Source organism: Homo sapiens, chromosome 1 (assembly GCF_000001405.40).
Source record: "Homo sapiens chromosome 1, GRCh38.p14 Primary Assembly".
Lineage (NCBI taxonomy): Eukaryota > Metazoa > Chordata > Mammalia > Primates > Hominidae > Homo > Homo sapiens.
The window spans coordinates 87,141,665-87,154,074 of record NC_000001.11 but is presented as its reverse complement, the minus strand read 5'-3'; the positions used below and the strand labels follow the sequence as shown (position 1 = coordinate 87,154,074).

The 12,410-nt window shown below is 43.9% G+C and overlaps 1 long non-coding RNA gene across 1 annotated transcript in view, besides 4 other annotated features; it reads right to left on the bottom strand.

Moving 5' to 3' along the window:
* The window catches only part of LINC01140 (long intergenic non-protein coding RNA 1140), a 39,440-nt gene that overhangs the window by 15,130 nt on the left and 11,900 nt on the right, over positions 1 to 12,410 (bottom strand). The window lies entirely within an intron of this gene.
* Positions 1,703 to 2,301: an enhancer, noted in NCBI's record as "H3K4me1 hESC enhancer chr1:87617457-87618055 (GRCh37/hg19 assembly coordinates)". NCBI's record gives its function as "activates a minimal SCP1, AML or CMV promoter by ChIP-STARR-seq in naive H9 embryonic stem cells {active_cell/tissue: H9 hESC(naive)}" and the evidence as "EXISTENCE:reporter gene assay evidence [ECO:0000049][PMID:30033119]".
* Positions 2,302 to 2,900: an enhancer, noted in NCBI's record as "H3K4me1 hESC enhancer chr1:87616858-87617456 (GRCh37/hg19 assembly coordinates)". NCBI's record gives its function as "activates a minimal SCP1, AML or CMV promoter by ChIP-STARR-seq in naive H9 embryonic stem cells {active_cell/tissue: H9 hESC(naive)}" and the evidence as "EXISTENCE:reporter gene assay evidence [ECO:0000049][PMID:30033119]".
* Positions 4,698 to 5,362: an enhancer, noted in NCBI's record as "OCT4-NANOG-H3K4me1 hESC enhancer chr1:87614396-87615060 (GRCh37/hg19 assembly coordinates)". NCBI's record gives its function as "activates a minimal SCP1, AML or CMV promoter by ChIP-STARR-seq in naive H9 embryonic stem cells {active_cell/tissue: H9 hESC(naive)}" and the evidence as "EXISTENCE:reporter gene assay evidence [ECO:0000049][PMID:30033119]".
* Positions 6,698 to 7,197: an enhancer, noted in NCBI's record as "H3K27ac hESC enhancer chr1:87612561-87613060 (GRCh37/hg19 assembly coordinates)". NCBI's record gives its function as "activates a minimal SCP1, AML or CMV promoter by ChIP-STARR-seq in naive H9 embryonic stem cells {active_cell/tissue: H9 hESC(naive)}" and the evidence as "EXISTENCE:reporter gene assay evidence [ECO:0000049][PMID:30033119]".

The following is a 12,410-nucleotide window of genomic DNA, read 5'->3' as shown; positions in this document are numbered from 1 at the left end:
CCAAATAAGGCTTGTTTAGCTTCACACAAACAGACGGAAGATCAAGTTAAAAATGCAAAGGAGATTACCAATTCTTAATTATAATTATTTAACCAGGTGGGTAGTTTCTCCTAATGAACATTTCCATGAAAACAGAATAACTAATGACAGTCTTAAAGAAGCCTTTGTCTTTCCATGTACTAATGATCACATTTATAAATATGCAGCAAGGCCCCCGTGTACATTGCTAATGATAAGTAATTAAGTACCAGGCGTGGGAAGCCAGTGAAAAGGGTCATGTTAATGCAAGAGAGGAAATTAAAAATGCAATAAAATAAGTTGCCTAGAAAAGATTAAATAAACTTCTGGCTTCTCCTTCTTCCAGACGTAAAAGAACAGTTTCCCCATTCTTGTAGTGAAGCCATGGCAGGCCATTCAACAGCTGGTTATCAAGTCAGACAGTACCAAGTGATCCACTTGCTTTCTACCTCCATCCCCATTTTATCCTGCAGGATTTCAGGCAGAGGGTGTGGCTCAAAGTAAAAGGCATTTTGGGTCACCAAAGGAGAAGATGAGCCCCTTGGAAAAAGGAAACAGTTGGCCATCACAGATGGATACCTTCCACTGGCTAATTAAATAGGACTTTGGTTGCTGTTGCTAAAGTACCACTTGTTTATAAAACTGTGTTGACCAATCTGGGTTTTTTTCTTGCTTCTGGAAGAAAAAGAGAGGACAAGATCAGTGCCTTTTCCAGTAGAGCAGAATAACCTTCTCATGTTGTTGGCTTCCCCAGCAGACTGCAGACTCCTGGAGGGTAAGACCACGACTCTGTGTTATTAGACACTGTAGCCCTCACACCTAGCCCTGCACAGAGGCCGTGAATGTTTAATAAACACTGGTTGAATAAGTGAATGAATGAATGTTCAAAATAAACCATCCCTAAGCCAAGGAGCAGTTTGTCCAAGAGCCCTGTCACATCGCTCCCCATCCAAGCAGCCCTGCCACCCAAACGCTGGCCCACTCAAAAGATGTAAGGGCTTTCTGTCATTCACTTACTGAGAAAGGCACTGATTCCTTCTTCAACATATCATCATCAAAAGGAACAGAAATTTGAAGCTTTAAGGAAAAAAAAAGGTCTTTGCAAAAAAAATCATATAGTTGGTTGTCAGACTCCTGTTTAGGAATTGACTAGGAATCCCAGCATCTCTTTTGAGCATTAAAGACACACAAAATGAATAAGGGCCTTCTTGGCAAAAGAAAAGGGACTTATATTTGGATCTCCAAAGCTCTTAAATAAGAGCAATTTTGATTTTTTTTTAAAGTATCTTAGTGAAGCTCTCAAACCACTGAAGATTTTTTTCTTTCAAACGTTTCGAACTCGTTGATCTCAAGTCTCTCCAGACCTCCACATTCCCTAACTGTTCTATGTGGTTAATCCCTGAGTGGGGGGAATCTAATTTTCTGCGGCTGCAGTCTCGGGTTAACAAGAAGGCAACCTTGATCTGAAGAAAATAGCAACCCACGAAAATCTAAACCTTGGCTGGCGATTTGGGGTAGCTTTTCTTGTTTAAGTTTTCTCCCCTTTTTTCTTTAACAAGTTTAAGAAACAAGTCATAAGGCAGAAAATCTAGGGTTTGGCTGTCTCTGCCCTGTTTTAAGGCTCCTTCTGAATTCAAATGAATCATTTCCTTTTACATAAAATCTTCAACGAGGCCACACTTCTTTTGTTATCAGAGTGTTGTCATCGGCAAGCCTGCTCGACTCTCATAAAGGCAATTTAGTACCTGACATTCGAGCAACGTGTGCGCGGGCCTGGATTTGCCTTACAAATAAGGGCTGCCAAGGAAACCTCTGGGGAGGCCGGCGGCCCTGCTCGGGGACACCTAAGGTGCATCTTTCATCAACTTCTCCGACAGGCCTTTGCTTCCCAGGGCGTGCTGTTCTGTACACAGCCGCCTTCCCCTCCCGAGAAAGTTCAGGACGGCGGCGGGGCCACTCTGCAAGCTTATCCTGACCCCCAGCGGTCGACCCTGTCATCGGGCCCGCACCGGGTCCCTCTCTCGCTGCCGGGCAGAGGCGAGCACCGCCCTGAGGTTCCCTGGATCCCAGGGACCCAAGCACCATTCGCTTTAATTGACAATTAAAACAAACTTCGGTTCTCACAAGAATCAACCGAGTGAAATTTCACAACTGCAAGTTTCACAATTCAATTCCCTTGAAGCAAAACCAACAGTTTCCCTGAGGTTTCACTCCACACCTCTCCATTTGTTGTTTAACTTCCCCCTCAAGTTTCTCTTCCCACACACAATTTTATTTTCAAGTCAGTCATGGAAACAGTTTAATTATGTTTCTGGGGGTCCCCGCATCCTCCCTGCCCCGGTGCTGAGTCAGCGCTTCCGCGAGCCCCAGGATGAGGACTCCAGCGAGCGCATGTTTATTAACAGAGCAGCGTGGCGCTCCCAGCGACCAGGGGGGCCCCCCCGAGGTGGCTATTTATGGCTTCTGCCCACCGGCCTGCCTGTTCAAGCTGTTTCATATTGTCAGCCACCGGAATCAAACAACCTGAAATAAGGCCTCCGCGGCCACGAATAGAATGCAGTCAGCAAACAACGTCCGACCCCGGCGGTAGAGTCGCCGGATTTAGCAAGTAAAAATACAAGATGCCCAGTTAAGATTGAATTCAGATAAACCACAAATACATTTTTAGTATAAGTATGTCCCAAATATTGCAAGGGATATGTTTGTACTAAAACATATTTGTGGTCTATCTGAAATTCACATTTAACTCGGGGCCTTCTATTTTATCTGGCAATCCTACCCAGTAGAGAAAGGAGAGGTTCTGTTTTATGGTTTTACAGCTCAGCTTCTGAGCAGATCGGGATAGTTCAGGGGGCCTGGGCCTCTCCTAAGAGTTAGGTGAGACTTATTTTTAAACGGTAGGAAAATAGTCCGAATGTGGATTCTCGGAGCCTCTCTGGAGGCTCAGACCTCCCTGGACATTGCCCCCCTTCTCAGTCCTACCCTCTTCTCTCCCTCCCTGTCTCTCTCCACTGTGGAGGCAGGACCCTGTCCTGAAGGGTCCCGTTCCCACGGTCAACCTTCCCAGTCAGCCTCAGGTGTCCTAGCTCGCAGATGTTGAAGCAAAAGTCAAAACCAAGGTAACTCTTTTTAGGGGGTAATAGATTTAACTGCAGCTGGGTCTTCAAGGGACAGGAGTAGCCATATTCTGAACTGCTATTTGTATCTACTGAAATGTAAACATTAAAAAAATTTAAAAAAAAACAAGTTTGAATTACTATCTTCCTTTAAAAAAAAAAAAGGCTACGGCCTTGGGAATACTGTACATATCTGTTACCGACAATTCTGAAAACCACCTCTGCAAGCCTGTCAGTTAAACCAAATGTTAAATGGAAAATATTTGGCGGGATTTAAAATTAGACCCGCACACATTACTTACAGATGTTTCCATGCAAAACACTTGAAACTGAACCACACCAAGTCATAAACCCCACAATGGTGTATTTTTTATACCCCAAGTTAATTTTTATTATATAAGTAGCCATATGAAGAAGGTATTGCATACAGCTTAAATTAAATACGGAGGAATGAAATCAGCAGTATCCCTTTACAGCATATGGCCCAGCAAATCAAATTACAAAGCTTTCCACATCTCATTAACTGCAATGAGTACAGTGAGTTTTCTAATAAGTCACATCTTTTTCATGTGAGTGGTGAGCAGTGACTTATTGTAAGAATTCACAGGATGACCCTTGTGCTGAAATTAAGAACTAATCTAAAATGGGCAGGGTCATCTGGTCAAGACTGATCATAACATTTCCTCATTATTGTTTTAGTTGGCATTGAAGCATATGTTTTCCTGGTGCCCCAGCTGAAAAATGCCTTTGATAATTTCACTGACAGCAAATAACCCACACACTGCCATTTAATGAGTTTGGGCAGGATTAGCTGACAATAAAGAATATAGTATAAATGTTTTTATTAGAACAGATTTATTTTTTAGCTGGGAAAAAAAAAAGAAGTCACATGGAAATGCTGAGCTGATTTCTACCCTTGTGATAGCGATCGCCCTGTTAGTGATGCAGGTGAAGAGGCAGAAGCTGCACGAAGCCCAGGGCTGGCCAAGACAGTGCCTTTAGGCTACAAATGGTGAAAGGCAAATTCCAGCTGGAACCTATACTCAGATGTCTGGTTCCTCCTTTGCACAACAAGAAAAAAAATACTTCTACAATTGCTCATCATGTGGCCTTTGGTTGAGATGAATTACCAATTTACAACCTCTTGTGTTTGGAGAGAAGCAAACTGTGCTCTTTTGAGGCAAGAATCAGGAACCTAAAATCATTTAAGCTTTCTTGTTTATAAGGCCAGAGTGAGGCCAAAAATCCATTTTCCTCTGTGCTCTAAGCCCTTTCAATGACGAGTTTCTCACCATCTGCACTAATAAATATGGACTGGTGTGTGTATAACCATACACTGAGGAGAAGGGAAGAGTGAAAGGATTTTAAATGATTGCAAATTGCTCTCCTGCTGAGATAACAGCAGTTTGCATGTGAGCCTCAGTTGTCACACATTAAGAATGGGCATTTGGCTTCTTTTCACACAGCTGCGAGAGAGAAGGGGTAAGTTTCAGAACAACTAGAGAGAAAAGCGGTCTGTTGTTCTTAGGGAGACAGGCTTTCTAGTGGCATCTTGCCCAGAAGCTCTTGCTTCGCAGCTCCAACCATGGGGACTGGAGACAGGATAAGCAGACCAGTCCCCAGAGCTGGGAGCAAGGGGAATCACTGAAGCCCTGAAACAGGATCATAAGCCTCAAGGCTCAGCAGAGATCAAAGGGATCAAGAATGGAAACAAGGCCAGAGGATTGAAGTAGCCTGGTGTGTAACAAAGTGATCCTTGAGTTAAGGTCAGTTTCTTGGGAAGACTTGGAGGCTTAAGACTCATCCGTAGGCACAAGTGGTCACAGGGAAAACTCTGTCTTGGGAAGATGCAAACAGCAGTCTAAGAAGGTGGTGTAGGTTAGTAGAGGCGGACAGTGAGTGTGCCATAGGAAGAGTAAGGCCACTGAGGCAAAAGCCAGTCATCCAGGGACCCTGGAGCCTGACTAGACTCAGAGGTCTCCTCCCAGCCAGAGAGAAGTGACTCCCTGTTCCTAGCAAAATGTAATGGGCAACTGTGGAAGCTTCAAAGAGACTGTCCGGTGAAATAGGGAAGTGTCTCAACAGTAGAACAGCAGCCACAGTGAAAGTGGAGTGCCCACGCCATCAGAAAGTGCACTTTAGGAAATGCTGAGGAGCGTGAGAAGACCCCTTGGTCAGAACACTTCCAAATACATCCTCCAACAGAAGGACCTCCAACCTGCCCCAAGGTGGGGCTGTGAAACCCAGTCACCTACCTCTCCTCTCAAGTGATCAACATGGGAGGGGAAGGGACCCTGGGAAGCAAGGGGGAGTAGGAAGTATCAAGTCAAGGGAGGAGAAGGAAAGTGGGAACTGAAATGGAGCAAAGCATCAGCCGTTGAGCCCAGACAAGGCAGTGGGATGAGCCAGGAAGACAGGCTGGAAAAGTCACCCGAGGAGGTGAGACTCCTAAGAAATACCTGTGGCTGAGCCCATGGGAGGAGAAGGCACTGTTAAGGGTGCCAAGCCTTTAGGACACCCAGGGGAAAACGTGGGGAAGCAGGGAAGGTAGGGGAAGGGAGAGTCTGCCATTAAATACATGACCAATCCCTGGTGAGAAGGAACGGCTAGCTACCACCCAAAGCAACTGTTCAGGATTGTGGACTCATACAGGGTTCACTCTTAGTGTTGTCTTAGGTCCTCAACACAAAACCTATATTAAAGCCTTTATCACCTAATTTCACCCTTCAGTTGTAATTGAAGCTTCCAAGCCTAACACAGGCCCTGGTTACTTAAACTGGAACCAAACAAGGAAAATCCCCGAGTATTGCTAGGTAACAATAACAAGTAATATTTGCACCACTTTACAGTTTACAAAGTGTTGTCATCATTTTTCTCATTTGCTCTTCATTACCAGGCTGTGAAGAAGGCAACTTACCCGTAGCTAGGAAGTAAAAATGGCCAGATCGCAGACCAAAGTCTTCAGATTCCAAGCCCAGTGTAACTTTTATTACAGCAAATATCTCTTATATACTGGTCAAATAACACTCTAAAATGCTCTGGCAGTCTGAGGAAATATCCATGTTGTACTCCTGGGGGAAGGTATTCAGGGATTAAACCAAAGTTCTCCAGAAGAGACCATCCTTCCCTTACACCTTAGAATATCTCCAGATCTAAAGTGTGTGTTGGAGGCATTCTGCCTCCATTCCTCCCTGACTGGTGCAGATGGAACAACGTTGCCGAGATGACATTCTTCAGAAACATGCTTTCTAGGACCCTCTTGGTAACTGCTCATTGACTATACTTGGAATAAGAGCCATAGTTGTTTTTTTGGCAAAGGAAGAAAATGAGGAAAGAAATCACATACAGACTTGAGCGACATCAACATGGCTTTCGAAGCAGCATCAGCCAGGGGAGCATCTAGCTCAAAGGAACTGGAGCTACCAAGTGCTATGTACCTTCCCCTTCCCCTCAAACCTTCTCTCTCTCTCTCTCCTATTTCTTCCTCTTTTTCCTCTCTCCATTACTAGATGATGCCCATGATATAGTCACTGTCTAAGAGGAAATAGGAAACTCTTTTATGTCTGCATTCTTCCTCCCCCACCTCCCCCCCACCCCCAACCCCACCCCCGCCAACTCTAGCAGGTGAATGGGGCCAAACTAAAGAGTGGTCTTGTTGAAGATATAAAGGCTTCAGGTGAATCTGAAAGGCTGGTTGTGCAAGTAGATTATACAAATTCTGGGCTGGACCCAGTGGCTCATGCTTGTAATTCTAGCACTTTGGGAGGCAGTGGCAGGAAGATCGCTTGAGGCCAGTAGTTTGAAACTAGCCTGGGCAACAGAGCAAGACCCTATCTCTACAAAAAAAAAAATTTTTTTTAATTAGCCAGGTGTGGTGGCATGTGCCTGTAGTCTCAGCTATTAGGGAGGCTGAGGTGGAAGGATTGCTTGAGCCCAGGAGTTCAGTGTTGCAGTGAGCTATGAGTGGGTCACCACACTCTAGCCTGGGTGACCAAGCAAGATCTTGTCTCTAAGAAGAAGAGGAAGAAGAAAAGGAAGAGGAAGAAGGAGGAGAAGGAGAAGAAGAAGGAGAAGGAGGATGAGGAGGAAGAGGAAGAATTATCCTGCTCCCATGTGGGAGGCTTTGAAGGCCTCATCCTCTACCACCTGAACTTGTAATTAAACACTTCCCTTCCATTTTCCCAAAGCAACCGAAACCAGCACAGAAACCTCTTGTCAATTACTTGCGCAAGTGTCCCTTGGGTATGTTGATAAACAAGACAAAGTTTTCAACCTAGGGAAACATTCTTTCTGTCCTTATCTCCTCTGCTTTCCCAAACCTCCCCAATACTACCACTGGCCCTACAGCATTTCTTGCAGCCCTCCTTCATTCCAGCCAAGTCTAGCTTTGTGTGGCCCCACAATTCTCCTTCATGTTACTTCCAAGCTCCCACCCAAGATACCCCCAAATGCTGGGAGCATCTCCTTCTTGTTTCCTGTGCTGCTTTCCTCTCTTCCTTGGAAGTTCCTCTCATTGACTCTAGGAAGGCTTCCTTTAGTACTGAATTCCCAAATATACAGCTTGTTAAAGCCTCTAATGTGTACATTGAGTATCGGAAAACTCAACAATCACTTACAAGTTAAGATTTCTATGTCTCGGGGCTGAAAGGGACTTTTGAATCAGAATTGGTCCATTTTCAAATATTCCTCTAGCTTATGACAACTTTCTAAGCTTCAGTTTTTTCATCTGTAAAATGAGGGTCTTCATTCTAAGGTTCTAGAAGTCCAAGGCTTGGTCAAGGTTACACAGCTAGAGGTATGACAATGCAGGCTAGAAGTGGAGCCTGCTCCCATCTGAAGGCCACACTCTCCACTCCATCAAGCTCTGTGTGCACCTACAAGCACAAGCCAATTCATCTGCCTGAACTCCTCTGTTAAATATGTACCAAAACTAACAATGGAACTACCACGTGATCCAGCAATCTCACTTCTGGGTATATCCAAAGGAATTAAAATCAGTATGTTGGAGAGATGTCTGCACTGCCATGTTAATTGCAGTACTATTCACAACAGCCAAAAGGTGGAATTAACCTAAGTGTCTATCAATGAATGAATGGATTTTTTAAAATGTGGTATATATACACAATGGAATACTATTCAGCCTTAAAAAAGAATGAAATTCTGTCATTTGTGACAAAGTGGATAAATCTAGAGAATATTAAATTGAGAAGTAAAATAAACCAGGCACAGAGAGGCAAATACTGCATGATTTCATTTATATGTGGAATCTGAACTCCGAAAAGTAGAGAGTAAACTGGTGGTTACCAGAGGCTGGGGAGGAGGGAGTGGGTAATGGAGAGATGTTGGCCAAAGAGTCCAAAGTTTTAGTCAGACAAGAGAAACAAGTTCTGGTGTTCCATTGCACAGCAAGGTGGCTATAGTTAATAAGAACGTATTGTATATTTCTAAATTACTAAAAGTTTGAATTTTAAATGTTCTTACCACAAAGAAATGATAAGTATGTGAGGTGATGAATATATTTGCATAATTTTATCATTTTATAATTTTATATATATATTTAAAATATATCAATTTGAGACTAAGGAGCAATTCTTTATTTTTATACCCTTAAATACTTAATACAGTATTGCCTACTGAATTATGTCTCAAATGTAAACACCCTATGTTACCCAACTCTATAGCCATCTACCACCAACCACCACCCACTCCCTTGATCTTTGCACATCAAAGATGCCTACTAATAAATGCTTTTGAATGAACAAAGGCACCAACTGAATGAAGGACCTCCCATTTTTCATTGTCTCCATGAGTACTGCTCACCAATTGATTGAAACTGGACTCCCAAACTCCCAGGCAAAGCTAACCCTCCCCGATGTGTTCTGCTGGCTCCACCGTTAAATAGCTGTGTCACTCAGCATTTCTATAACCCTGATGTGCCTCCATTTCTTCATCTGTAAAATGGGAATAAAATAGTACCTACCTCATGGGGTAGCTATCAGGATTAAATGAATGAGTCCACTAAAAGCACTGAGAATAGTGCCTAGCAATATGTGTTAGGGTTCTCCAGAGGGACACAACTAATAGGATACATGTATATATGAAAGGGAGCTTATTGAGGAGAATTAGCTCACACGGTCACAAGGCAAAGTCCCATGATAGGCTGCCTGCAAGCAGAGGAAGAAGAAGCCAGTAATGGCTCAGTCTGAGACCAAAAGCCTCAAAAGTGGGGAAGCCGACAGTGCAGACGTCAGTCTGTGGTCGAAGGCCCGAGAACCCTCGAAAAACCACTAGTGTATGTCCAAGAGTCCAAAGGCTGAAGAACCTGGAGTCTGATGTCCAAGGGCAGGAGGAACAGACAGATGCATCCAGCACAAGAGGAAGAGGAATGCCAGAAGCCTCAGCAAGCCAGCTTATCCTTCTTCCTCCTGCTTTGTTCCAGCTGGGCTGGCAGCCGATTGCATGGTGCCCACCCACGAGGGTGGGTCTTCCTCTCCCAGTCCACTGACTCAACTGTCAATCTCCTCTGGCAACACCCTCACAGACACACCCAGAACCAAGACTTTACCAGCTATCTAGGCATCCCTCAATCCAGTAAAGTTGACACCTAATATTAACCATCACACAATACATAGCAAAATGCTCAGTAAATATTAGCTGTTGTTATTCTATACTTTCATCTAGCATAATCCTCATCACACATCACCGTGATGCCTATTTAATTTGTTAACTTTCCAGAATGAGTGGAAGCTCTATGAGGTCAGGGAGCATGTCTGCCTTGGTCTTACTCCCAGCATGGTGGTCTGGCAGGTGGTAAGTAATCAATAAATTTCTGAATGCACCCATGCAAGAATGCAAAAATGCAAAGCTAATTCCCTGGGCTATGTGGATTGGTTGCTGATACTTTGTAACTAACAGAAAATTTTCTAACCTTTGAATACTGTAGGTAATTGTTCTGAGTTGCTCTCCTCTTTACTTAAGAATAGAGGAAATGAGAGGCACCATTGCAAAGTGGTTAAGAGCACAGAGAGCAAAGCCAGAGTGCGTGGATTTGAAACCTGGTTCTACCACTTACCAAAATGTGACCTTATGTTACTTCAATAGAAATAATAAAGTACCTACCTCAGGTGGGTCTTATGGAGATTAAATGAGTTAACAGATGAAATGTGCGTAGTGCCTAATATTACATAGTGTTAGCTACTATTATTATCATCACCATCACCATCATCGTCATCATCATCCTGAATTGTGAATAAGGATATGATACAAAGACCTGAGAGTGAAAACAGATGTGTGGTTGTAGGAAAATATTTTGTCACCAATACAGAGACATCATGGATGGCTAAAAGGCAGCATTCAATATAACCATGTTGTTGTGTTATGACAGTTTAGCTGTCATCAATATACTGTTGGAATGTTTTAGGTTCATGCAGTTTAGGCCACACTTGAGGGCAGGGAGTTATGGGAGGAAGGTTTGCAGAAGAGTGTCTACTTTGTACAGTGTAAATGCTGCTATGCCCACCAGCTCCCACCACAAGCCCTGCACTCCAATGAGGTGGGCACACATCTGTGGCCCAGCACCACCCCGAGTCCTGCTGTGGCCAGAAGACCACTCTTCCCTCCTTGCCATCTTCTCCTGACACAGATTTTCTCATCACATTTTAGTTCAAGGACCCTCCAGAAACCTAAGGCACCATTCTGTTCTCTGATGCTGTGTCTTCAAAGTCATGGGCAGTGCAGAAGCCCAGCTGCCAGGACACCAGCTGTCCCCTCCCTGGGCCTCGCTGTGGCTGAACTGCAGGTCCCCTAGGATGTCCAGAAAGGTAGCAAACTGGGCTTCCCCCAAGTTGCTGAGCCACCAGCAGCTGGAAGCAGGGGAGCAGCTTCACCCGCTGTGTGAGGAGGGCGGCAGGACCCAGCTCTGAGAAGATGTAGAACACACTGTAGCTTCAGGAAAAGGAATCTTAAGTCCCAGAGCAATTAAAGAACAGGGATCGAATTGAAGCAAGAAATGAGGAAAGCTTTACATCTCCTGTTTCTTACTCTATTTCACCACAATGGCTTTTCCCCTCCACAGCCCAAAGCTGTGAAGCGATTTGAAATCACTACATTTAGCCACAGATGATTGATTTTAAAATTATTCATGAGTAGCCATCTCACCACTATCTACCTACCTCAAGATTAGATGCTGCCACTATCTTACAATTCTCTTATAAGGGGTTGAAATCAAAATCTCCTCATGAATGGAATTTATCTCACCAGCGGTGAATATACACTGTGATTTGTTATCATGGAGTTCTTTATCCTATTTGCTGAAGCTACCTTAAGTTTATAACATGCATTAATTTTTATATTGCAAATTCTGCATAATGCAGAAAAAAGAATTACAACAGCACCTGCCATAGTTCTATTGAATCAGTACTTTATATATTGCATGTATTACATAGCATGACCTTTTGATGTTTAATACCCAACCCTACCCCTGCCCCACCTTACACACACATACCAGCTAAAATGGTTCTCTGAAGTTACCTCATGAGTCAAATTTGCTCAAGATTCATGGCGCTTACCTGAAGCACTGGGGTGCCTATTTAAATAATTTTAAGAAGAGGTCAATATTATGAATACTATCTCCTTGAAGTAGCCACACTATGGCATCAGGATTGCAACATGAATGCTGACACTTGTGCCTGGCAGCCCACAGAAGTTAGGGAACTTGACACCAGGAAGTGTCCCAGAAAGGACCCAGGACATGGTCCACCGGGATCCTCACTCAACAGAGGAACATGGAAAGCACCACTCCCTCATTTGTCTAATCATATACTCATTGCCTGACCCTGGGTGGGTGGAGTCCTTCCATGTAACATACAATTTTTAATTTTAAGGGCCGATATCCATCTTTAAATTAGCTAAGTAATGATACAACGACTGAAATCAAAATTCATCGTGGCCTTCCCATGAATGGCCTCACACCATTTGGTGAGAGAGGTAAAGAAAGGGTGGAAAGCTGGGTGCTGGGTTTGCAATGACGCTTCCCTGGAATACAAGACAGGCTCAAACCTCTTGAAGCCAGTCGGAGTCCAAGGTAAACTGCTTCACAAACACTCAGCCAATAATAAAATGTTTTGAAAAGCACTTAAGCTTAATAGGTTGAGGTGTTAACTCAGTGGAAGCTTCTGTTACTATGGAGAGAGACTGCGAGAGCAGAGCAATGCCACGGGGTGGGAAAAGGAACGCCATTCGAAGGAGTCATGCCACACACAGCAGACATACAATTAG